This window comes from Homo sapiens, chromosome 11 (assembly GCF_000001405.40).
Source record: "Homo sapiens chromosome 11, GRCh38.p14 Primary Assembly".
Lineage (NCBI taxonomy): Eukaryota > Metazoa > Chordata > Mammalia > Primates > Hominidae > Homo > Homo sapiens.
Genome location: NC_000011.10, coordinates 89,787,387 through 89,813,095, shown reverse-complemented (window position 1 = coordinate 89,813,095; position 25,709 = coordinate 89,787,387). Strand labels below are relative to the sequence as shown.

The 25,709-nt window shown below is 39.3% G+C and overlaps 1 protein-coding gene across 3 annotated transcripts in view; it reads left to right on the top strand.

The window, feature by feature from the left end:
- Positions 1 to 4,520: 4,520 nt before the first annotated feature.
- Positions 4,521 to 25,709, top strand: part of TRIM49 (tripartite motif containing 49) — a 42,125-nt gene continuing 20,936 nt past the window's right edge. The window contains exons 1-8 of one of the 3 annotated variants that reach the window (NM_020358.2): positions 4,521 to 4,659; positions 5,812 to 5,997; positions 8,623 to 9,037; positions 9,303 to 9,398; positions 11,164 to 11,394; positions 12,108 to 12,130; positions 13,283 to 13,380; positions 14,467 to 15,441. In NM_020358.2, coding sequence (NP_065091.1) covers positions 8,627 to 9,037; positions 9,303 to 9,398; positions 11,164 to 11,394; positions 12,108 to 12,130; positions 13,283 to 13,380; positions 14,467 to 14,966 — 1,359 coding nt within the window. In that variant the 5' untranslated portion in view covers positions 4,521 to 4,659; positions 5,812 to 5,997; positions 8,623 to 8,626 and the 3' untranslated portion in view covers positions 14,967 to 15,441. Of the gene's footprint in view, positions 4,660 to 5,811; positions 5,998 to 8,622; positions 9,038 to 9,302; positions 9,399 to 11,163; positions 11,395 to 12,107; positions 12,131 to 13,282; positions 13,381 to 14,466; positions 15,442 to 25,709 lie in introns of those variants that run through there. The other 2 variants (XM_017018027.3, XM_024448617.2) reach the window with 2 other exon arrangements.

Genomic DNA, 25,709 nt, shown 5'->3' with positions numbered 1-25,709 from the left:
GGTTTGCTATCATATTACCATCCAAATAATAATTGATTTGGATGTATTTACATAATGCAAAGTTCTTTAAGTAACTAATAACATTTACTTAGCATTAATTGGTCCCTTTCTATGTATGAAGCAGTGTTCTACTTGCTGATACCTACAATATTTTTCATAGACTTTAAAATACATCGGCATACACAGTGTGAAATCATTTTTGTGTGTGCTTGTTATTTAGGTCACAATATAAAATACATACTGCTAGAATTCTAATAAAAACATACTGCACAGGAATGGTGAGGTAGCATTTAAATCGGGAAAGTTCAGCTTGACAGGGTCCTATTACCAGTGCATCCTGTTAGACTAACAACATTCAACATCATAAGTAACACATCAGTAACAAGCTCTTAACTGAGACAAGGTTAGAAATGTGTATTTTTATTTTATAAATAATCTCTGAAAAAGACAGCCTTCTTAAGCACAAATATCATTTATTATGGTATGTTCAGTCCTTTTCAATTTTTTACTTTCAAACAATATTCTCAAATATATTTAGAAAAAGGTTTTAAGGTATAGTATTTCATTAATGCTCATCGTTTGGAAAAAAAACCCAACTGGAATACAAGCACATGAATTTGTGTTTATTTTTTTAACTGTGGATTATCATGGTATTTAATCTACTTATTACAAACAATTTTTGAAAATAGTAATTGATATAACTTGAGACTTTTCATCAAAATTTGAAGACATCTAACAATATGCATAATGAATTTGAGTTGGAAAAAATGTGTAATACAAGTAAAAACAAAAATGCATTTTCCATTCCTACCTGGAGAAAAAAAAGATGAAATAACATACAGGTTGAGCACCACTAATCAAAATATCTAAAAATCCAAAATACTCCAAAATCTCAAATGTTTTGAGCTGTGAAATGTCACCAAAAGTGAAATATCCCACACGTGACCTCATATGAGAAGTTACAGTCAAAACATATTCTCAGTGAACAAAAGACTCTCCCAGCCCCTTCAGTTGCAATATATCTTTCTGTGTCCACCTAGATGCCCCCGAGCAAGAGCACTCACAAAGGGTAATAAAATGGCATGTGTACACAAACTTTGCTTCATGAATAAAGTTATTTAAAATATTGTCTAAAATTATCTTTAGCCTATCTGTATAAGGTGTATATGAAACATAAATTTTGTGTTTACACTTGGGTTGATACACAAGATATCTTATTATGTCTATGCAAATATTCTGTAATCCACAAATATCCAAAACCTGAAATTCTTCTGGCCCTAACATTGTGAATAACAAACAGTCAACTTGTATTACATGGTTTTATAATGGATTTATTTGAAAATGTGACTGAAATCTGTGGATGAAATTTTACAAACATCAGTTTAAGCCAAATAGTATTATTTTGTATAGCAGAAGGGGATACACTGGGTTTATTTCTCCACAGCATCCAAGTAGAATGTGACAGGGGTAAGGAGGAAAGATTTCTGTATGTAGTACTCATGATCCTTTGGGCTTAGGGGAGGTAAAAACACAAGATATGCTAACCTTACATTCTGCTCTGTTCCTTGGAAATTTTATAAACAACACTTACTGTTGTTTATAAACAAGAATGGATTCCAGTGAAGGGAAATGGCTAAGTCCATGAGCACCATTAGAACTGGCAGGGTTCAGGAAAGAATGTGAAAACTCTACTCCACAGTACTCGTTTTTCTATACTGTGCTAGGAAAGATGAATGGAAAACAAATTTGGCAATGTAATGTCTGCGAACAGGATACACAGCCAGATATGGGAAGAATAAAATATAAGAATCTTGTGTCTACTGAATCTAGAGAAGAAAATGTTCTGTTAACTCTTTGCTATGAAAATGCTTCGAGGCTGGGAACCGTGGCTCACGCCTGTAATCCCAGTGCCTTGGAAGGTCGAAGCAGGAGGATTGAGTCCAGGAGTTTGAGACCAGCCAGAACAGCATAAGAAGACCATATCTCCACAAACAATTTAAAAACTAACCTGAAGTGCGGGTGTCTGCCTGTAGTCAGAGCTACTCAGGAGGCCGAGGTTGAGGATCACTTGAGCCTAGGAGGTTGAAGCTGCAGTAGCTATGATCCAGCAACTGCTCTATAGTCTGGATGACAGAGTGAGACCCTGTCTCTAAGAAAAGAAAAAAGAATAGAAAAGGAAAAACATGATTGAAATCTAAAACCTAGAGTGCTGTTTGTAACTGTTGCCTCCATTATTTTCTCAAGGAAGGAAACCTATTTGATTCTGATTTTTACAGCCTAATGATAATGTAGCTATATTCAAGAACTCAATGTTTCATTCATCAGAGGAAGAAACTTCAGAATGTAGGCTGAACCTCACCTGAACACACAAGCACAGAAGGAATCATATGTGTTTCTGTGGCTCTAAGTGAGAAAATACGTTGAGAGATTTGAGGATTTATGGAGTTGACGACATGTAATTGATCCCTGAATCCATCCCATACAGGAAACAGGACCATAAAAAGATTGCTTACGACCGGGCGCGGTGGCTCACGTCTGTAATCCCAGCACTTTGGGAGGCTGAGGCGGGCGGATCACGAGGTCAGGAGATTGAGACCATCCTGGCTAACACAGTGTAATCCCGTCTCTACTAAAAGTACAAAAAAATTAGCCGGGCATGGTGGCGGGCGCCTGTAGTCCCAGCTACTCGGGAGGCTGAGGCAGGAGAATGGAGTGAACCCGGCAGGTGGAACTTGCAGTGAGCCAAGATCACGCCGCCACTGCACTCCAGCCTGGGCGACAGAGTGAGACTCGGACTCAACAACAACAACGAAAAGCTTACCTTTTATGTGCTCATATGTAAAGTTGGGACAATGCTACACATATTGCATGTTTTCTGTGGAGATTAGGAACAATGTGTGCATGGAGACAGCACAGTAACTGGTACATCATAGCCCATGTATCACATTGTCCCCTTCCTTTTTCTAACATATTTCTCTCCACTCAAATAGATAAGAGGTTTCAAGAGAAAATGACTGGGGTTTGTAGAAAAATAGACAATAAACGGGTAAAACAATTGAGAAGAAATGCCAAAAAAAAAAAAAGCGTTAAAGAAAAGATAGCCCTGGACATTCAGGATCCACAAAGCAAAATATAAATTTGTGGAAAATTAATAAATTTTGTTAGCATGGGAAAAAATATGCAGAATTCTCTCCATGTGCGCAAATAAAACAAACAAAATGTCAAAGTAGTTATAATACCTAGGTTTTAAATGGTATTTATCATAGAATGGCATTTTTATAAAAATTTAAAAATTTCCAGAATTAAATAAAGTCAGATTTCTACATATGTTAAGGAACGAGAAATAGATCACCAACTTTCATACAAAGATTTTCCAATGAGTTTTAGAACCCAGATGAACAAAAGAGTCTATTACCAGATTCTCAAAAATAGATGTGTAATTCAACAGAAAACTTTGTGGTAGAGGTAGGTTTCAGATGCTAGAATGGAAACAGTCTCATGTACAAAAAAGTATCTTTTTTATTAAAAGGAGAAGCACTGGGAAATAAGGAAATATTCCAAATTGGCTGGAGTGTCCTTTATCCACATCACGGATTGTTCTTGCCTATACCCACCTCTACTCTCTCTTCTGGATTGGGTAGGACTTTTGGAACCTACAAAATGCCAACTCTAAAGAGAATTACTTTCTTATATTTGTTTCATGGTCTGAGACTCAAGTAGGAAAATAGGTTGTTTCCTTGATAATGCCACAGTAGACAGAGGTAGGTCTGTAATTGAAAGCTCCTAATTTCCAGTGCTCTAGGCTTCAACTGCCTAAAGCTGAGTGTTTGAATAAGTGAATGATGTGGTGCAAAAAGTGGTTGAAATAAAATCAGAAGCTACCTACCTTCCTTTCTCTCCTTGCCCTAATTCCTTCCTGATACACAGCATCATCAGACCTTGTAATGGAGTACCAGGGCCCCGCCACGGAGCTCCAGAATTTAAGCAGAGAATGTCCACAGGATCAAGTCCATGACCCAGGGTTTCACAAGTTTCCCACTCTGGAGTCCAGGACTGAGCCAAGAGGGCCCCCACACACAACCAGCGCAGATCTTACTTCTGTGTGGACACTTTGGTTAATTACTTAGATTTATTGAGGTACAGAATGTGCATACAGGGTGGTCAGTCAGTTGGTGGTCTTGGATAGTAAACTGACAATAGAACAAGAAAATCTATTGTTCAATTCCTTGTATTTAATTAAATATAAACTCTGGATGATTTTATGATGTGTCAACTTGAGTACATGTATGTACAAAGAGGGAAATGAGGGCAGTAGCCATTTTGTGGCATAGACATACCTTATTATTCTTCAATGAAACACTTACTTAGGACCTGCTGGAAAGGCATTTTGCAGATGCGAGCAAAGGTCCTAATCCTGTAACTAGGAAGTGTACCCAAGTAAGCCTGACTTCATCAGTGAAAGTCCTTTAAAGAAACACATAGGCATTCCTTGAACAACATTTTAAATGGCAAATGGGACTCTAATCTTCCAGTTGCCCCCTATTGACTTTAAACCAAAGCTTTGATTCATGACCACTGGGATCCAGCCAGCGGGGGATTTCTTTTCCTGATGGACTGTACCCAGGATCTCACATTTGCTTAAGCAGCTCCCACAATTGGGTAAGTCAAGTCTTTGCACTTAATTCATATGTGAATCTCCCTAACTATACATATATCTTATGGGTTCTGCTTTTGTCTTTGAACCTGGACAGACCTGGGTCTGATAGATTTGTCTTCACTGTTTTGACAGTCTTGACCATAAGTCTTCTGGACCATTGGCAAAGAATTCCTCTATCAGAAGATATTTGAGTAGTCCCTTCTGAAATCTCTTTTTTAAAAAAAATAATTTTCATATAACAACAAAAAGACTTGGCATAGAAAGAAAAATATAGTCCATCTCTATCATTTGGATTCTGTATTTGTGAATTTGCCTATATGCTAAAAGTTATGTGTAATCCCCAAAATAATTCCCGTGGTGCACTCCTAGTCATTGTAGGACATCATGCACTATATGGAGAAAAACGTTAAAATCATAACTCATCTTTCACCCATGAGACTGGTGAAGTTTTGTAAATTCAATGAGAGACCCCAGGTTAGTGGGTTTATTTGGTTAATCAGTGATTTCTCTTAGAGTGGTAGAAAACAGAAAACAAAAAGGAAAGTTTTATCTTCCATTGGACTTCTCTGGAAATATCCTATAAATGTACTAAAGCAGCATTTAAGCTGGATGAGGTGGTTTATACCTGTACTCTTAGCACTTTGGAAGGCCGAGACCAGAGGACCACTTGAAGCCAGGAGTTGGAGAACAGCATGGGCTACAGAGTCATACACTGACTTTACCAAAAATTTCAACAAAAAAAATTAGCCAGGTGATATAGTGTGAGCCTAAAGTCGTAGCTACTTGGAAGGCTGAAGCAGGAGGATTACTTGGAATTCAAGGCTGCAGGGAGCTATGATTATGCTACTGCACTCCAGAAGGAGACCCTTTCTCTAGAATAAATAAATGTGCACTTAGAGGAATGCCTGTATCATGGAAGAAACTCAATAAACAGTATAAAATGCATCTTAGTTAATTTCTAGCCTATGTATGCTCTGACAGGATTTATGTTACATATGATTCATTCAGGCACTGGTGTTCAGAATGAAAGTGTGATGATAATTTAATCAGAGCTGCAAAGGTGTGTTCTAAATACTGCATAAACCTAATCATCTTTGTCTCCACCTTTCTGAATGCTCTAAATACCCATAAAGAGGTGGGTGTGGTCTTCACAGGTTCTTATAAAAGGACACGGAAGAGACAAGCTCAGTTTTCTCTGAAGGAGAAGGACTGCACTTAGAACTGCATTTTGGCGACCTCTGAAATTCAGTACTGCAGTGAATGAGCTTCTGATCTTGAGGTGAACTTAACAAAATTATTTTTGGAAAAATCGTTGTGGGAACCATTAAAAGAACTCCAGGGTGAGTGAAACATATTGATAAAATTATATCATCTTTCCTTTACACAATAATAAATTAGAGTGTTAAAAATATCTCATTATCTGAAATCTACACAATGATACCATTTGTAACTCATGTTCTTACTATAGATTTTATGAATTATAAGGATACTAATTGTTGTTATTTTGTGCTTTCTATGATTGTTTAATATAGTTCTGAAAAACTTAAAATATCTAGTGTTTGCTGCAACAGATATGTATTCATAATGAATATATGGAGTTGATACATATATGTACACATAGGTGTGTGTGTATATGTATGTAATGAGTGTATTAATATTGTCAAATTGAATTGAGAAGACATTAATGAATGATGAAGTTATTTGCTTTCATAACATTCAGGTTTTAGACATGACTTTAAATTAGTAAGGTAATGATGAGCGATGCAAAATAGTGAAACTAAAACAATGAGAAAGCTCCCCAAAATATCCTACTTTAGAAATCAAAACACAATTTTTCGAACAAGTAAATTTATAAGACCTAATATGGTATGTGATTGTGATTGTCATCTCACTTGAGTCTCAATCTTATTAAACTGTGAAAAATTTCTTAAAATGTCTTAGATGAGTTCTGGAAAATATTTGCAATTCTAAGATTTTTCACTGCTTTCACTTAAATTCAGAAGTGATATAAAACTAGCAGCTTTATGCTGCTTTATGCTAAAGGATTTAAAATTGCCAAAACAAAGATTATAGTTTTTATATTAGTCAGGGTTCTCCAGACAGAACCATAGGATGTATACATATATGTGTGCAGATACATTCATGGGCCATTTGAGTCAGCCACAAACCACATATGGGGGTCCCATAAGATTATAATACCAATATGTTTACTGTACCTTTTCTGTATTCAATTATGTTTAGATACACAAATAGTTATCATTGTGTTACAGTTGCCTACAGTATGCAGTACAGAACATACTGTACAGGTTTGTAGCCTATTGTAGGAACAATAGGCTATAGTGTATACCATAGGTGTAGTAGGCTATACCATCTAGATTTGTGTGGTATATTCTATCATATTAAAACAATGAAACCGCCGGGCTGGGCACTGTGGCGCGTGCCTAGAATCCCAGCACTTTGCAAAGCCAAGGCAGGCAGATCACTTGAGGCCAGAAGTTCAAGTGCAGCCTGGCCAAGATGGCAAAACCCCATCTCTACTAAAAAAATACAAAAATTAGCCAGGCCTAGTGTCACGTTCCTGTAATCCCAGGTACTTGGGAACCTGATGCAGGAGAATCGCTCTGAACCTGGAGGCGGAGGTTACAGTGAGCCGAGATCACGCCACTGCATTTCAGCCTGCGTGACAGAAGGATACTCTGTCTCAAAAAAAAAAAACAAAAAAAAACTAAAAACACCTGACACATTTCTCAGAACATACATCTGTCCACAAGCTATACATGATTCTACATGGGACAGAATTCATCAGGAAAATTAATTTGCTTGATTATGGAGTCTAGAGAGTTCCAATATAGGCTGTCTCTAAGCTGGTGTCCTGAGAATACCGGTATCCTGGCTAAGCTCAAGTCTGAAAGGTTCAGAACAAGTTTCAGGAGAGAGACGGAGGAAGTTGCCTTTTTTCTGCCTTTTTCTTTATATCTGAGGTGTCAGCTGATTGGATGGTGCCCACACACATTGAGAGATGAGGCTCCCACTCAGCTCACCAGCTCACATGTCTCTCTCCTCTAGAAACACCTTCACAGACTCACCCACAAACAATGCTTCACTAGTTCCCTAGGTGTTGGTTAATCCAGTCAGACTGATACCTAAAATTCACCATCACACTATGGAAATATAATTACACCTCTCTGAGTTTAACAAAAACCTCCTATATGTTAGTTCAGAGCTTGCACAGCCCTAGGGGAAGTTAATTTAATCCGCAAGAAAATAAAAAGACCCAATATCTTTAATAATTTTTCTTTTCCCTACTAGTGAAACTTGATTAGTTTAATTGCAGTCTTTTTCTTTGTTTATTTGGTTGGTTGGCTTTTTTTTAAATTTTGTTTTGATTTGGGTCTTTGTTTTTAATTTAATTTAATTTTAAGTCCTGGGATAACTGCAGGACTTGCAGGCTTGTTATGTAGGTAAACTTGTGCCATGGTGGTTTGCTGCCCGGCTTTTGTGACTCTCTATAAAAATATGTCATAGAACCATCTTCTCATATTTCTTTGGCCATCTTCTCATATTTCTTTGGCCCGGGTAGTTTTTTCCCTCCCACTCTTTCACAGTCATTCATCAGTTATTGAAAGAAGAATAGGGACAACTATGATTTATTCTGACCACTTAGAATCAAAACCCAATTTCCAGATCTATGTTCAGAAAATGGGTAGTTGAATAGGTTTGTATTATGCTACAGACAGGAACTAGGAGTAGAAGGGACTGTGAGTCCTCTGGTTAGTAATATCTGTTAGAAAGCCAGGAGACTCCCTCTAAGTGTAAATTTTTAAGTTTGTAACAGAAGAAATAGTTTGTTGTACTTTAATGAACACTGTCAAGAGAAGAAAATATAACTATCACATATCTCCACATGTTTAGAAGGTTTTCATCAACCCAGGCCCCAAAATGACATGTTTCTCTTTGTTCCTCAGAAACATGAATTCTGGAATCTTACAGGTCTTTCAGGGGGAACTCATCTGCCCCCTGTGCATGAACTACTTCATAGACCCGGTCACCATAGACTGTGGGCACAGCTTTTGCAGGCCTTGTTTCTACCTCAACTGGCAAGACATCCCATTTCTTGTCCAGTGCTCTGAATGCACAAAGTCAACCGAGCAGATAAACCTCAAAACCAACATTCATTTGAAGAAGATGGCTTCTCTTGCCAGAAAAGTCAGTCTCTGGCTATTCCTGAGCTCTGAGGAGCAAATGTGTGGCACTCACAGGGAGACAAAGAAGATATTCTGTGAAGTGGACAGGAGCCTGCTCTGTTTGCTGTGCTCCAGCTCTCAGGAGCACCGGTATCACAGACACCGTCCCATTGAGTGGGCTGCTGAGGAACACCGGGTAAGTGATGGCTCTGAAGATCGATTTCTGTAAAGGAAGCATAAAATTCCTGTGGGTCTATTTTCTTGGAGATTGGATAAAGCCAACTCTGAGTCCCTTTAAGCAGCTCTGTTTGGGCTTTCTTAGCTTCCAACCTCTGGGCTTTGACAAACATGAAGGGAAACAAAGGAAATGCCATTTACTAGGGGCTTATTTGTCTCTCATTCTGGGCCCCCTCCCTATGTCATGGTCTGCACTGGTGCTTCAATTTATGGCTCTTTTGCAGGAGAAGCTTTTACAGAAAATGCAGTCTTTGTGGGAAAAAGCTTGTGAAAATCACAGAAACCTGAATGTGGAAACCACCAGAACCAGATGCTGGAAGGTTAGTCCTGTACTACTCTACCTTCTCCAGGAACTTATGGTGGGCAAATGGGTGACTCTTAAAATAGGAACTTGATATCAAACTGTAATGTTTCTGGGATACAGTAAAAAAAAAAAGGCGAGAGAAAACACTGAGAAAAAGTGGCCTCATTTTTATATAGAATAGTATGCCTGTTAGGTAGGATTTCTAAGAAAACTACTGATGTCACCCAAAGCATGCTGGTTTGTTTCATACAAACCTATAGTTATACACCAACAGATCCAAGAAACTGGGCCATCTCAAAGCATTCTATATTTGCTGGTTGGATAAATGCTAGGCAAAAGGGTTATTTGGCAGTCATGGAATGCTCAACTGAAACTTCTGAGTGTCGGTCAGCATTAATCTGAATGCTAGTGTGCAAGTAGTATTTGGAATTGCATGGAAAATTTGAGGCAGAAAAAGTGACAGGGCAAATCTAGGGAAACCATGAAATTAAGAATCTCAACTAATTAATATTGAATAATACATAACATACGATGAGAAAAGCGGTGAGAAATACGGATTTGTGTCTTGAGGGAGACATGTAAACATGCCAGAAATATGGGAACTAGTATCTAAACATAAGGAGAACTCTGAGGACTTCAGAAAAACATTAAAATAATTTTCTCTTCGTGGATGTATATTTTGAGGGTATGATAGCTAAGATTAGTTTGTTGAAAAGTATTTCATGAGAACCTAGTCTATGTTGAATATTAAATTAGAAAATATACTAGTAAAGAAGAAAGGAAGCACCTTTGTCCTCACAAATCATACAATCCAAATAAGAGAGTCAAATTGTCAATACACAAATATATGCAATACATGATGTATTTGAGTGTGGTAGGTTTTTGTTGGAGAATAATCAAGCAGGGAAGTAGAAAAGGACAATAGAGGCCAGAAACTGGAGATTAGTGTTTGAGTTTTAAATAGGGTGGTCAGAAAAAAGACTCACTGAAAAATTCAAATTGAAACAAAGTTTTGAAGAGGAGGGGGAACACAAATGTGTGTGTGGATATATATGTGGACCATGAGTGTGTATATGTATGTATGTGTGTGTGGTTGTGTGTATATATGTATGTATGTATGTATGTATGTATGTGTGTGTGTTTGTATACATATATATGTAATTCTAGTTGGAGAGAACAGCATATGCAGTAATTTTGAGTTTGTGTATATTTGGAGGCCGGAAGAACCACAAAGAAGTCTATGTTTCAGACTGGGATGACTTAGAAAAAGAATAGAAGGAAATGAATTCAGGGAGACAAAGATGGCCAAATCATAAATGCAGCCTTATTAGGATAGGTTTTGCTGAGCGAAATGCACTTAGCTGGACATGCTAGTCTAAGGTCATTTTCATATAATGAGTTTAAGCAACTTGGTGCATATCTCAGAAATAGAAAGAATTGTTTCCTTTCTAGTAACTATAGCCCTATACTCCAACTCTCAAGCATGAACTGTTCTTACTTTGCCATAAATATGGGTTGGAATAGAGAAATTCAAATTGTGTTTTTTTGTTTTCAACTATCTTAGAAAACACATTATCTTGAATAAATTTAACGTAATTGGTCAGATACAGCTATGTTGATCTTTATGCAGAAAAAAGGAAAGGAACAAAATTTGTAGATTCTAAGAACTGGCAAGACAGAAGTTTGAACTATTGGACGTTCGAGAGACAAAAGGAATCAGTGAGATTTAATAGGAGATGGATATATACATTTCTCTTTTGACTAACCCATTATCACTGCAGGATTATGTGAATTTAAGGCTAGAAGCAATTAGAGCTGAGTATCAGAAGATGCCTGCATTTCATCATGAAGAAGAAAAACATAATTTGGAGATGCTGAAAAAGAAGGGGAAAGAAATTTTTCATCGACTTCATTTAAGTAAAGCCAAAATGGCTCATAGGATGGAGATTTTAAGAGGAATGTATGAGGAGCTGAACGAAATGTGCCATAAACCAGATGTGGAGCTACTTCAGGTAAAAACTCGCCATGTGGTTTCAGGTTTTTGAATATTCACATGTATAAGTATTTTCCTCATGGCTGAAATCCATCTCCCTACTTTTATTTCCATGATGTGTTTCCAAAAACACATTCACATAACTAATGCTACTTTGTTGGGAGAGTATAGCCCCACTAAGGGATTCTACCAGGCCAAAGGTCCCTCCTACTTTATCCACCAGCCACAAAACTTTGTGGAATGGTCAAGGTAACAGCCCCAAGAAATATTCCCCATCTAATTCAATAATATACTTTGGGTTGTTAAACATGTATAGAATAGTGAGTGATTCATTTACATTTAGGTTAATTTGTAAACATGGCAAGATCAGAAGTTTTGGGAATCTAGGTTTGCATTAACATTATTTTGGGGTCCACTCATTTGGGTAACAGGTTCAGTTAAAGATGACTGAGTAGGTTTTTCATGGTTACCACAGACCATAGACCTTCTGGGCCTCTTCTCCCTTCACTTCTTTAGAGAATGTCTTCAAGACTCAGACTTTCCCAGGACGTTAATTAATAACAATACAACTGACTGGGTTTTTCTTTACAGAAGAAACAGAAAATACTTTCCAGAAGAGAAGATGGTAGGGAAATAATATCTTCAGAAACTGAGTACAAATCTCACACTGAACTTAGTGAAAGATGCATCTTGTGAAATGCACTAAATCTTTCTTCTTTTTTTTTTTTTCAGGCTTTTGGAGACATATTACACAGGTGAGTGTGTACCTAGATTTTAGCATATGTTCTTTAAGATTCCACGACTATCAAAGCAGGCTCTATTAAAGTCATGGCATAAATAATTAAGATATTGATACCACTTTTTTTTGCATCTACTTTCGTTCCCACACCTTAAAAGACAAGGCCACGAAGTAAATAAATGAATAAAAGAAGAGTGAACTAAAACAAACAATTTGATTCCTGCTTTTGTTTTTTTTTTGAGACGGTGTCTGGCTCTGTCGCCCAGGCTGGAGTGCAATGGCGCCATCTCGGCTCACTGAAAGCTCCGCCTCCCGGGTTCACACCATTCCCCTGCCTCAGCCTCCCGAGTACCCGGGACTACAGGCGCCCGCCACCACACCCGGCTAATTTTTTGTATTTTTAGTAGAGACTGGGTTTCACCATGTTAGCCAGGATGGTCTCTATCTCCTGACCCCGTGATCCGCCCGCCTCGGCCTCCCAAAGTGCTGGGATTACAGGCGTGAACCACCGCGCCCGGCCCCTGATTTTGTTTTATTGCTTGAAAGCCTGCACAGGAGAAAGATAAGTTTTTTTTTGTGAATGGTGAGAAAGTCACCAGAGGAAGCAGGAGAGAAGAGGAGGAAGTATTTTAGCAGTGAAAAAGTGTTGATGTTTTGTTTTTTATACATATATACATATCAGTTAACAGTTCTGAAAAATAGATTGAAAAAAACTGTGGAGTGTTAGAACTGTGTAAGTCTCTAGGGAAGTTCTTTGCTAAAAGGGGAGAGAACAAGTTTCCATTCTTTATCTTGAGAAGGAAGCAGTGGATGCATCAGTCTCCCCAGAACCCCGCTATTTCAGACAAAGATGTCAGGGGAGTCTGCCAAGAAGTGGAACTCAGAATTTCGTTTCTAAATATTCTCAAGGCCATAAAGCTAAGGAACCTTACACATTTGGAGCAAAAAAAAAAAAAAGAAGGATCAGATTGGATTCTGGCTTAGATTCTTCCATCATGCTTTAAAATTTAGAAACTGTAAAGAATTAATTTGCAAAAGGAAGGATTAATTTTTGAATTATCAAATGTGTAGATTCAAAGGATTCTCTTGAAATGTCTTTTATATACAAATAGTGATTTTTATTTATTTTATGGCTGTAGATGTTGTAACTGCAGGTTTTTCCTTGCAGGAGTGAGTCCGTGCTGCTGCACATGCCCCAGCCTCTGAATCCAGAGCTCAGTGCAGGGCCCATCACTGGACTGAGGGACAGGCTCAACCAATTCCGAGGTAAGTCTCCACCCACAGGCAGCACTCCCACTATCTAAATATTATTATTGTTAGGATCACATAGGTAATATTTCATATTTTATCAAATATTTTACTTCTTTTAAGACATAAGTGAACAATATAACCATGCAACCCTTTGGTATCCGTGTCTGTATTTACAGTCAGATTTATAGCATTAAGTTTGAAAGATAGTGAAAAAGAAATACTTTCTGGCATAATATGTACTGAGTTATATAACGGGAAAAAGGAGTAGTGTAGAAAATTTTAAAAAGGAGCAAATGAAATAATGCTCAGAATGGTGAATTATTTAATGTTAAATACAAAATTGTGCATTTCTTTAGTGTATTCATTTGAACTGCTAAGAACTGTTCTTTAGGGGAATATAGTTTTCTGGAGATTCTTGGGGGTTTTGTATTTTTTTAATGTGTATATATTATTCATATATTGCAAACATTTGAATTAATAGGTAAAGCTAAAAGGAAGAAATCATTTTGTGGATATAAGTAAAATTACAAATGAAAATAAGTTCAGTTTAATTGCAATATGAAGAGCTACATGTTAAGTCTAAAATCCAGCTTCAGCCCAGAGCTAGCATGGAGGACCTCAGAGAGACTGGTCAAAGATTTTGCAGAGATCTGCTTTAAATTATCACTTATAACATGTACATATGGATTTTTATCCAGATATCTAGAGCAGTTCTTAAGTGAAAATCTTCACATTCACATTCTTTCCAAAATGATAGCACTAGTTTTTAAGAATAAGAAACATTTCTAAATAATGATCTTGATAACAGCATTGCATTTAGGGCATATAATGTGTAAATTTTACTTTGAAAATTGGATTGAAAGAAGTTGGTCTCACATTTGGCTCTCAATATGTAAGTTTTCAAAAAAAAAACATAATATCTGTGGTTAGGGTTTTGTTTGTCTTGTATATAATATTAACCATCTCTATACTTTACTAGAAGTTACAAGCAAAACATTTTATGACTTTACATTTGCTGGTAAAGTAACTTCTTGATAGAACAATTATTTTTTTCTTATTTACACATGTCTATGCATGTTTTCTTTTTTTTTTTTTTTGCAGTGCATATTACTCTGCATCATGAAGAAGCCAACAATGATATCTTTCTGTATGAAATTTTGAGAAGCATGTGTATTGGATGTGACCATCAAGATGTACCCTATTTCACTGCAACACCTAGAAGTTTTCTTGCATGGGGTGTTCAGACTTTCACCTCGGGCAAATATTACTGGGAGGTCCATGTAGGGGACTCCTGGAATTGGGCTTTTGGTGTCTGTAATATGTATCGGAAAGAGAAGAATCAGAATGAGAAGATAGATGGAAAGGCGGGACTCTTTCTTCTTGGGTGTGTTAAGAATGACATTCAATGCAGTCTCTTTACCACCTCCCCACTTATGCTGCAATATATCCCAAAACCTACCAGCCGAGTAGGATTATTCCTGGATTGTGAGGCTAAGACTGTGAGCTTTGTTGATGTTAATCAAAGCTCCCTAATATACACCATCCCTAATTGCTCTTTCTCACCTCCTCTCAGGCCTATCTTTTGCTGTATTCACTTCTGACCAGAGACAAATCAGAAATGTGTTCACATGCTGTGGGAACCCCTTTATCCCAGGAAGTCCTCTTCCTTGTGCCTTAACATACAGGACAAATAGGCTCTATTTTATGTCTTGAATTGCCTTCTAATGTTATCAAAACTCATTTATTGTGTTACTATTAAATATGCTGAAAACGCTAAAAGTATACGTATTGGTTCTTTATTAAATAATTTTTGAAAAATCATTATTCATGATCATGGCATACAGTATATTCTCTTTTTTTTCTTTATTTATGACTGTCACTGAGTGAAATAATAGATGACAGACATGTCTGAATGAAGTAAAAATCAATGGAAGACAGTCGGGATCTTTTGCTTCATGCAAAAAACTTGGAGTGAAGTCTCAATGATAACTGGGAAATGTTTTTCTTCCTCTTTATCTAACTATATTACACTTATCCATCAGGTTTCATTGTATTAATCTATCCTTTGAGGTAATACTATTTGACCTTCTATGCTGGGCTTTATTTTGCAATTCTCACCACAGATATAAATAATCCTTCATTATTAGTGTGCTCGTCTACATTGAAATACACAATGTGATCAGACCAATGCTGGATTAATTGAAATTTTTTTTAAAAAGTAACTAAATATTGACTCCTACCTCAAAACACACACAGTCATTTCCAGATAGATTGAAGTCCTGAAAGGAAGGGGAACCTGATACAATATTCTCATAAGGATTTCTTAACCAGGGCACAAATTAATAATTAAAACAATTAGTTCATTTATATTGATAATGATGACTTCTGTGTTTCAAAAAACATTATGCAAACTAGTAGTGGAGAAAGATATTCACCCCAACATACATAAAGTAAAATATAATACATGTATATGATGAATACTTAAATTGTAATAAATAAAAGACAGTGAACTCAACAGAAGATTGGCTAAAATATCTGAACAGACACTTTACAGAATTGGATACATAAATAACTAGCCAAATATAAAAAAGTGCTCACTTTCATTAGTCTTACAAAAGTAAGAATTAATCCACCAGTTGTACCACAGGCCCTCATAAAAAAATACCAAAATTTAAAGACACACAATATTGTGTGTTGTCAAAGATACAGAATAAATGAAATTTATTCATGGCTGGAGAGATGTAAATGGAAATCCCTTTTGGGAAACTGACTATTAGCATTTCTTATGGGCTAGATATTCTAATTCTAAAATATAGTCAACTGATTGCCTACATATACTTCAACATACACAATATTGTTCACTGCATCAATTTTTATAGTAGCTCCAAATTAGACCCAAAATATTCTTCAACCGTAGAATAGCTAAATAAATTTGGTGTATTTATGCAAAATAATCCTATAAAACAATAAATAACTCACTGAATGCAACAAAGCTGATGAATCTCAGAAACAAGTTAATAAACATATGCCAATTTAAACGATAAAATTGAAGTTAAGAAAAGACTTTTCCATGTATATAATATATTGGTAATTGTAAGCTCTTTATGGGTTCCATAATTACATGAACGCTGTGGAATTATAACTTTTAAGACCCAAAATGTCAAATAATGCATAAGGTAGTAGAATAAAATAGGAGCCCAGGCATGGTGGCACACACCTCCAATCCCACCACTTGGGGAGACCAAGGTGTGAGAACGTCTTGTGGCCAGGAGTTCCAGACCAGTGGAGGCAACATAGTCAGACCTCATGTCTACTAAACATTCCTTTAGAAATCAGCCTGGCATGATGGCACATGCTATAGTCCCAGCTACTCAGGGGGCTGATGCAGCACGATGGCTCGTGCCCAGAAGGTCCAGGCTGCAGTGAGCCATGGTGGTGCCCTGCAGTCCAGCCTGTGACAGAATGACAGTCTGTCTCATAATAAAACAAACTATAATTACTTGATATAACACAAACCAATATATTATAAATGCGCTAATTATAGGTATTTTAAATATTGATTTATTTAAAATAACTGAGAAAGCTGGGATAGCTACATGTTTGCTTAGACCAGACAAAAGTGCCTTGGGAAGTAAGTTTAAAGTATTTTTATTAGAGTAAGTGAGGATGAAGTGCTTTATTACCAATGTGATACACACCAGAATCTGCTATGAATAGTCTCATGTCTAGAGGATTTGCGGATATCTAGGTAAGCAGTAATTATTGGGTGCCTGAAGCCTAGCAGATGCATATTCAGTGTGTCTTCTCTGGAGATGTCTTCTCTGGAAAGTTTGATTTTTTTTTTCATTATACTTTAAGTTCTAGGGTACATGTGCACAACGTGCAGATTTGTTACATATGTATACATGTGCCATGTTGGTGTGCTGCACCCATTAACTCCTCATTTACATTAGGTATATCTCCCAATGCTATCCCTCCCCCTCCCCCCACCCCATAACAGGCCCCTATGTGTGATGTTCCCCTTCCTGTGTCCAAGTGATCTCACTGTTCAATTCCCACCTATGAGTGAGAATATGCACTGTTCGTTTTTTCGTCCTTGTGATAGTTTGCTGAGAATGATGGTTTCCAGCTTCATCCATGTCCCTACAAAGGACACGAGCTCATCCTTTTTTATAGCTGCATAGTATTCCATGTTGTATATGTGCCACATTTTCTTAATCCAGTCTCTTATTTTTGGACATTTCGGTTGGTTCCAAGTCTTTGCTATTGTGAATAGTGCCACAATAAACATACGTGTGCATGTGTTTTTATAGCAGCATGATTCATAATCCTTTGGGTATATACCCAGTAATGAGATGGCTGGATCAAATGGTATTTCTAGTTCTAGATCTTTGAGGAATCGCCACACTGTCTTCTACAATGGTTGAACTAGTTTACAGTCCCACCAACGTGTAAAAGTGTTCCTACTTCTCCACATCCTCTCCAGCACCTGTTGTTTCCTGACTTTTTAATGATCGCCAATCTAACTGGTGTGAGATGGTATCTCATTGTGGTTTTGATTTGCATTTCTCTGATGGCCAGTGTTGAAGAACATTTTTTCATGTGTCTGTTGGCTGCATAAATGTCATCTTTTGAGAAGTGTCTTTTCATCTCCTTCACCCACTTTTTGATGGGGTTGTTTGTTTTTTCTTGTAAATTTGTTCGAGTTCTTTGTAGATTCTGGATATTAGCCCTTTGTCAGATGAGTAGATTGCAAAAATTTTCTCCCATTCTGTAGGTTGCCTGTTCACTCTGATGATAGTTGCTTTTGCTGTGCAGGAGCTCTTTAGTTTAATTAGATCCCATTGGTCAATTTTGGTTTTTATTGCCATTGCTTTTGGTGTTTTAGACATGAAGTTCTTGCCCATGCCTATGTCCTCAATGGTATTGCCTAGGTTTAATTCTAGGGTTTTTATGGTTTTAGGTCTAACATTTAAGTCTTTGATCCATCTTGAATTAATTTTTGTATAAGATGTAAGGAAGGGATCCAGTTTCAGCTTTCTACATATGGCTAGCCAGTTTTCCCAGCACCATTTATTAAATAGGGAATCCTTTCCCCATTGCTTGTTTTTGTCAGATTTGTCAAAGATCAGATGGTTGTAGATATGTGGCATTATTTCTGAGGGCTCTGTTCTATTCCATTGGTCTATGTCTCTGTTTCGGCACGAGTCCGATGCTGTTTTGGTTACTGTAGCCTTGCAGTATAGTTTGAAGTCAAGTAGTGTGATGCCTCCAGCTTTGTTCTTTTGGCTTAGGATTGACTTGGCTGTGAGGGCTCTTTTTTGGTTCCACATGAACTTTAAAGTAGTTTTTTCCAATTCTGTGAAGAAAGTCATTGGTAGCTTGATGGGGATGGCATTGAATCTATAAATTACCTTGGGCAGTATAGCCATTTTCATGATATTGATTCTTCCTATCCCTGAGCATGGTGTGTTCTTCCATTTGTTTGTATCCTCTTTTATTTCATTGAGCAGTGGTTTGTAGTTCTCCTTGAAGAGGTCCTTCACGTCTCTTTAAGTTGGATTCCTAGGTATTTTATTCTCTTTGAAGCAATTGTGAATGGAAGTTCACTCATGATTTGGCTCTCTGTTTCTCTGTTACTGGTGTATAAGAATGCTTGTGATTTTTGCACATTGATTTTGTACCCTGTGACTTTGCTGAAGTTGCTTATCAGCTTAAGGAGATTTTGGGCTGAGACGATGGGGTTTTCTAAACATACAATCGTGTCATCTGCAAACAGGGACAATTTGACTTCCTCTTTTCCTAATTGAATACCCTTTATTTCTTTCTCTTGCCTGATTGCCCTGGCCAGAACTTCCAAAACTGTGTTGGATAGTAGAGGTGAGAAAGAGTATCCCTGTCTTGCACCACTTTTCTAAGGGCATGCTTCCAGTTTTTGCCCACTCAGTATGATATTTATTGGCTGTGGGATTGTCATAAATAGCTCTTATTATTTTGAGATACGTCCCATCAATACCCAATTTATTGAGAGGTTTTAGCATGAGGGGCTGTTGAATTTTGTCAAAGGCCTTTTCTGCATCTATTGAGATAATCATGTGGTTTTTGTCTTTGGTTCTGTTTATGTGCTGGATTACATTTATTGATTTGCGTATGTTGAACCAGCCTTGGATCCCAGGGATGAAGCCCACTTGCTCTTGGCGGATAAGCTTTTTGATGTGCTGCTGGATTCTGTTTGTCAGTATTTTATTGAGAATTTTTGCATCGATGTTCATCAGAGATATTGGTCTAAAATTCTCTTTTTTTGTTGTGTCTCTGCCTAGCTTTGGTATCAGGATGATGCTGGCCTCATAAAATGAGTTAGGGAGGATTCCCTCTTTTTCTATTGATTGGAATAGTTTCAGAAGGAATGGTACCAGCTCCTCCTTGTACCTCTAGTAGAAGTCAGCTGTGAATCCATCCGGACCCGGACTTTATTTGGTTTGTAGGCTCATAATTATTGCCTTAATTTCAGAGCCTGTTATTGATCTATTCAGGGATTCAACTTCTTCCTGGTTTAGTCTTGGGAGAGTGTATGTGTCCATTTCTTCTAGATTTTCTAGTTTATTTGCATAGAGGTGTTTATAGTATTCACTGATGGTAGTTTGTATTTCTGTGGGATCGGTGGTGATATCCCCTTTATCATTTTTTATTGCATCTATTTGATTCTTCTCTCTTTTCTTCTTTATTAGTCTTGCTAGCAGTCTATCAATTTTGTTGATCTTTTCAAAAAACCAGCTCCTGGATTCACTGATCTTTTGAAGGTTTCATTGTGTCTCTATCTCCTTCAGTTCTGCTCTGATCGTAGTTATTTCTTGCCTTCTGCTAGCTTTTGAATGTGTTTGCTCTTGCTTCTCTAGTTCTTTTAGTTGTGATGTTAGGGTGTCAATTTTGGATCTTTCCTGCTTTCTCTTGTGGGCATTTAGTGCTATAAATTTCCCTCCACACACTGCTTTAAATGTGTCCCAGAGATTCCAGTATGTTGTGTCTTTGTTCTCGTTGGTTTCAAAGAACATCTTTATTTCTGCCTTCATTTCGTTATGTACCCGGTAGTCATTCAGGAGCAGGTTGTTCAGTTTCCATGTAGTTGAGCGGTTTTGAGTGAGTTTCTTAATCCTGAGTTCTAGTTTGATTGCGCTGTGGTCTGAGAGACAGTTTGTTATAATTTCTGTTCTTTTACATTTGCTGAGGAGTGCTTTACTTCCAACTATGTGGTCAATTTTGGAATAAGTGCGATGTGGTGCTGAGAAGAATGTATATTCTGTTGATTTGGGGTGGAGAGTTCTGTAGATGTCTATTAGGTCTGCTTGGTGCAGAGCTGAGTTCAATTCCTGGATATCCTTGTTAATTTTCTGTCTCATTGATCAGTCTAATGTTAACAGTGGGTTGTTAAAGTCTCCCATTATTACTGTGTGGGAGTCTAAGTCTCTTTGTAGGTCACTCAGGACTTGCTTTATGAATCTGAGTGCTCCTGTATTGGGTGCATATATATTTAAGATAGTTAGCTCCTCTTGTTGAATTGATCCCTTTAGCATTACGTAATGGCCTTCTTTGTCTCTTTTGATCTTTGTTGGTTTAAAGTCTGTTTTATCAGAGACTAGGATTGCAACCCCTGCCTTTTTTTGTTTTCCATTTGCTTGATAGATCTTCCTCCATCCTTTTATTTTGAGCCTATGTGTGTCTCTGCACGTGAGATGGGTTTCCTGAATACAGCACACTGATGGGTCTTGACTCTTTATCCAATTTGCCAGTCTGTGTCTTTTAATTGGAGCATTTAGCCCATTTACATTTAAGGTTAATATTGTTATGTGTGAATTTGATCCTGTCATTATGATGTTAGCTGGTTATTTTGCTCATTAGTTGATGCAGTTTCTTCCTAGCATCGATGGTCTTTACAATTTGGCATGTTTTTGCAGTGGCTGGTGCTGGTTCTTCCTTTCCATGTTTAGTGCTTCCTTTAGGAGCTCTTTTAGGGCAGGCCTGGTGGTGACAAAATCTCTCAGCATTTGCTTGTCTATACAGGAGTTTATTTCTCCTTCACTTATGAAGCTTAGTTTGGCTGGATATGATATTCTGGGTTGAAAATTCTTCTCTGTAAGAATGTTGAATATTGGCCCCCACTCACTTCTGGCTTGTAGAGTTTCTGCCGAGAGCTCTGCTGTTAGTCTGATGGGCTTCCCTTTGTGGGTAACCTGACCTTTCTGTCTGGTTGCCTGTAACATTTTTTCCTTCATTTCAACTTTGGTGAATCTGACAATTATGTGTTTGGGAGTTGCTCTTCTTGAGGAGTATCTTTGTGGTATTCTCTATATTTCCTGAATTTGAATGTTGGCCTGCCTTGCTAGGTTGGGGAAGTTCTCCTGGATAATATCCTGCAGAGTGTTTTCCAACTCGTATCCATACTCCCCATCACTTTCATCACCAATCAGACACAGATTTGGTCTTTTCACATTGTCCCATATTTCTTGGAGGCTTTGTTCACTTCTTTTTACTCTTTTCTCTCTAAACTTCTCTTCTCACTTCATTTCATTCATTTGTTCTTCAATCACTGATACCCTTTCTTCCAGTTGATCGAATCAGCTACTGAAGATTGTGCATTCATCACGTAGTTCTCCTGCCATGGTTTTCACCTCCATCAGGTCATTTAAGGACTTCTCTACATTGGTTCTAGTTAGCCATTCATCTAATCTTTTTTCAAGGTTTTTAGCTTCTTTGCAATGGATTCGAACTTCCTCCTTTAGCTTGGAGAAGTTTGATCGTCTGAAGACTTCTTCTCTCAACTTGTCAAAATCATTCTCCATCCAGCTTCGTTCCATTGCTGGTGAGGATCTGCATTCCTTTGGAGGGGGAGAGGTGCTCTGATTTTTAGAATTTTCAGTTTTTCTGCTCTGTTTTTTCCCCATCTTTGTGGTTTTATCTACCTTTGGGCTTTGATGCTGGTGACGTACAGATGGGGTTTTGGTGTGGATGTCCTTTCTGTTTGTTAGTTTTCCTTCTAACAGTCAGGACCCTCAGCTGCAGGTCTGTTGGAGTTTTCTGGAGGTCCACTCCAGACACTGTTTGCCTGGGTATCAGCAGCAGAGGCTGCAGAACAGTGAATATTGCTGAACAGCAAATGTTGCTGCCTGATCGTTCCTCTAGAAGCTTCGTCTCAGAGGAGTAAGTGGCCGTGTGAGGTGTCAGTCTGCCCCTACTGGGGGGTGCCTCCTGGTTAGGCTACTCAGGGACCAACTTGAGGAGGCAGTCTGTCCGTTCTCAGATCTCAAACTCTGTGCTGGGAGAACCACTACTCTCTTCAAAGCTGTCAGACAGGGACATTTAAGTCTGCAGCGGTTTCTGCTGCCTTTTGTTCAGCTATGCCCTGCCCCCACAGGTGGAGTCTACAGAGGCAGGCAGGCCTCCTTGAGCTGCAGTGGGCTCCACCCAGTTTAAGCTTCCAGGCCACTTTGTTTACATACTCAAGCCTCAGAAATGGCAGGCGCCCCTCCCCCAGCCTCACTGCTGCCTTGCAGTTTGATCTCAGACTGCTGTGCTAGCAATGAGTGAGGCTCTGTTGGCGTGGGACCCTCTGAACCAGACGCAGGATATAATCTCCTGGTGTGCCGTTTGCTAAGACCATTGGAAAAATGCAGTATTAGGGTGGGAGTGACCCAATTTTCCAGGTGCCATCTTTCACAGCTTCCCTTGGCTAGGAAAGGGAATTCCCTGACCCCTCGAACTTCCTGGGTGAGGCGATGCCTCATCCTCCTTCAGCTCATGCTAGGTGGGCTGCACCCACTGTCCTGCACCCACTGTCTGACAAGCCCCAGTGAGATGAATCCAGTACCTCTGTTGGAAACGTAGTAATCACCCATCTTCTGCATCGCTCACGCTGGGAGCTGTAGACTGGAGCTGTTCCTATTCGGCCACCTTGGAACCCAAGTTTGATTTTTAAATGATTTTTAACTTCCCATGGCGGAAACAGGAAGGAATGCCTGGCAACCCAACAAGGGTCAGATGCCACATCAACCCGAGCAGAAGCTGCCTAACCCTGGCTATTCCAACGGCAATTAGACGTTCTTGGGAAGGTGGAGCCCTTTGTGGGAGCTCCACAAAGTGGCCACTTAAAGGTGACCGAGGCCTCTCAAAATCCCTGTGTTAGAGCTGCAGCTCTCCATGTGGGCTGCAGTGCAGTCACCAATGGAGCTTTAGGACAGGCCCAGAGCTCATCTCCCTGGACCAGTGCCTTGAGAATTTTCGCAGCAGGGATAGCCAGCTTGGAGAAGTGTGCCTGGGAGACCATGTGGCACTGCCTGGCTGGGTCCTCAGCTGACAGAGGTGAGGGTAGGGCTCATGGTGACTTGGTAACGCTGTGAATTAGGTACGTGTAGCAGGAAGGTGCCACAATGCCAAGGCCCCATGTTTTGGAAATTCCATGAGGTCCACATGAGGTTGAACTAAACACCAAGTGCAGTCCTCAAAGGAAAAATAAAATAAATACCCACATAAGGGACTCTTTGGAACTGAGTCTGGAAGAGAGGGCTGCCTGGTCCACTCCAGGAGAATTTGCCTAAAACAAGTTTGCTTCCCACTGCATTCTCTTTGCTTGTTGTAAACATCACCTCCTCCCCATTCCTTTATTTTGCATCATTCTGGGCTCCTTACTCTTGTTGCATCCTTTATTACATTTTAAGGATGCCTGGATTCGATTTACTTGAGTGCATATATGGCTTAATTTTGTATTTCTGTTAATCATTTATTATATTTCCCCCATTTTATCGAATGACACGTTTGTCTCATATCTTTTTTTAATATGTTAAAGATTTTGTATCCAGTTTATCTAAAACTCCTTGCTTAAAGTGAGTTTAATTCTAGCAATACCTACATGCTTATCTTTGCATTGTTTTATAATTTGACGATAAAAGTTTTTCCCCAATATACGACTGTATGGATAACACTTTTTAAAAAGATACAATAAAATCTGATCTCTCTGTCTCACTTGATCATGTGGCTGAACGAGTCAATCCCTCCAACAAATAGAAATATCCAGCATCACTTAATCTAATTAATAAAAACATCCAGTGTGCACGTGCACCCATGATGAGAAGAAAAGACAAAGCAAACAGCCCAAAAGGAGAGAATCCCATGATTTCTGTGTAAACTCCTACAGATATCATAAATATTTATTGCTAGGAACAGTATTTTAAATAAAAGGTCTTCAGGCAATTGTATTAAAACTGCCTTGGATACAAGAGGTCCTATAACTTGTAAAAATTGGCAAATTGGATAACGATTAAAAATACAAAATTACACAGAAAATACCCTTTAATAAATTGATTTTTTTAAATTGAGACAGAGTTTGGCTCTCGTTGCCCAGGCCGGAGTGCAATGGTGCGATCTTGGCTGCCTGCCACCTCTGCCTCCAGGGTTCAAGCGATTCTCCGGCCTCAGCCTCCCGAGTAGTTGTGCCACCATGCTCGGCTGATTTTGTATTTTTAGTAGAGACGGGGTTTCTCCATGTTGGTCACGCTAGTCTCAGACTCCCAACCTCAGGAGATCCGCCTGCCTTGGCCTCCCAAAGTGCTGGGATTACAGGCATGAGCCACCGCGCCCGGCCTAATAAATTGATCTTTAAAAACATCTTAACGGAGGTTCTCTAAAGGGAGCCTTTTAGGCAACATGCCCGCTAGGTGTACTGATTGCTAGGGTGGCTGGTGTCAGGCGAATCGATGTGGCTCCCCCAGCCCCTTCCTGGGAGCATCCTAGAGAGACAGCGCGGAAATACACGCGGCCCGGTGGTCCCGGGAGCTGCCACGGTGCCCAGCCCCGCGGCCTTGCCCTGCCCTCAAACCCCGTGTCAAGCACCCGCGGACTCTCACGTCCTCTTCTTCCAGGGCAGCGGGCGCTTCTCCTGCACCTTGGCCTGGCGCTTCTTCTCGGCCTCCTCCGCCTCGGGTTTCTCCTCCTTGGCCACCTTGTTATGCCACTTGGGTATCCGCAGGTGGCCGCTGTCCTTGGTGCTGCCCTTCCGCGCTGCCCTCTTGGGCTGGAAGGTGGGCGCGGGTGCCTTGCTGAGGCGGACCCGGGGCACCACCATGCCTGGCCACAAGCTGCTCCGCCGCAGGCGCTGCAGGGGCAGGAGGCTGGCCTTCCGCGGGGAGGGGTCGGCAGAGCCCCAGGACCCCGGCAGCGGGGCAGGTGGGAGGCCGGCTCTTGGGGATTCCTCACGGGAGCCCGCCGCCTCTAGGCCAGGCCGCTTGTGCTGCTCTGCGCCCTCCGTTTCGCCCGCCACCTGCGCCTGCCGCCCCCACCGACCCCACGCCGCGCCG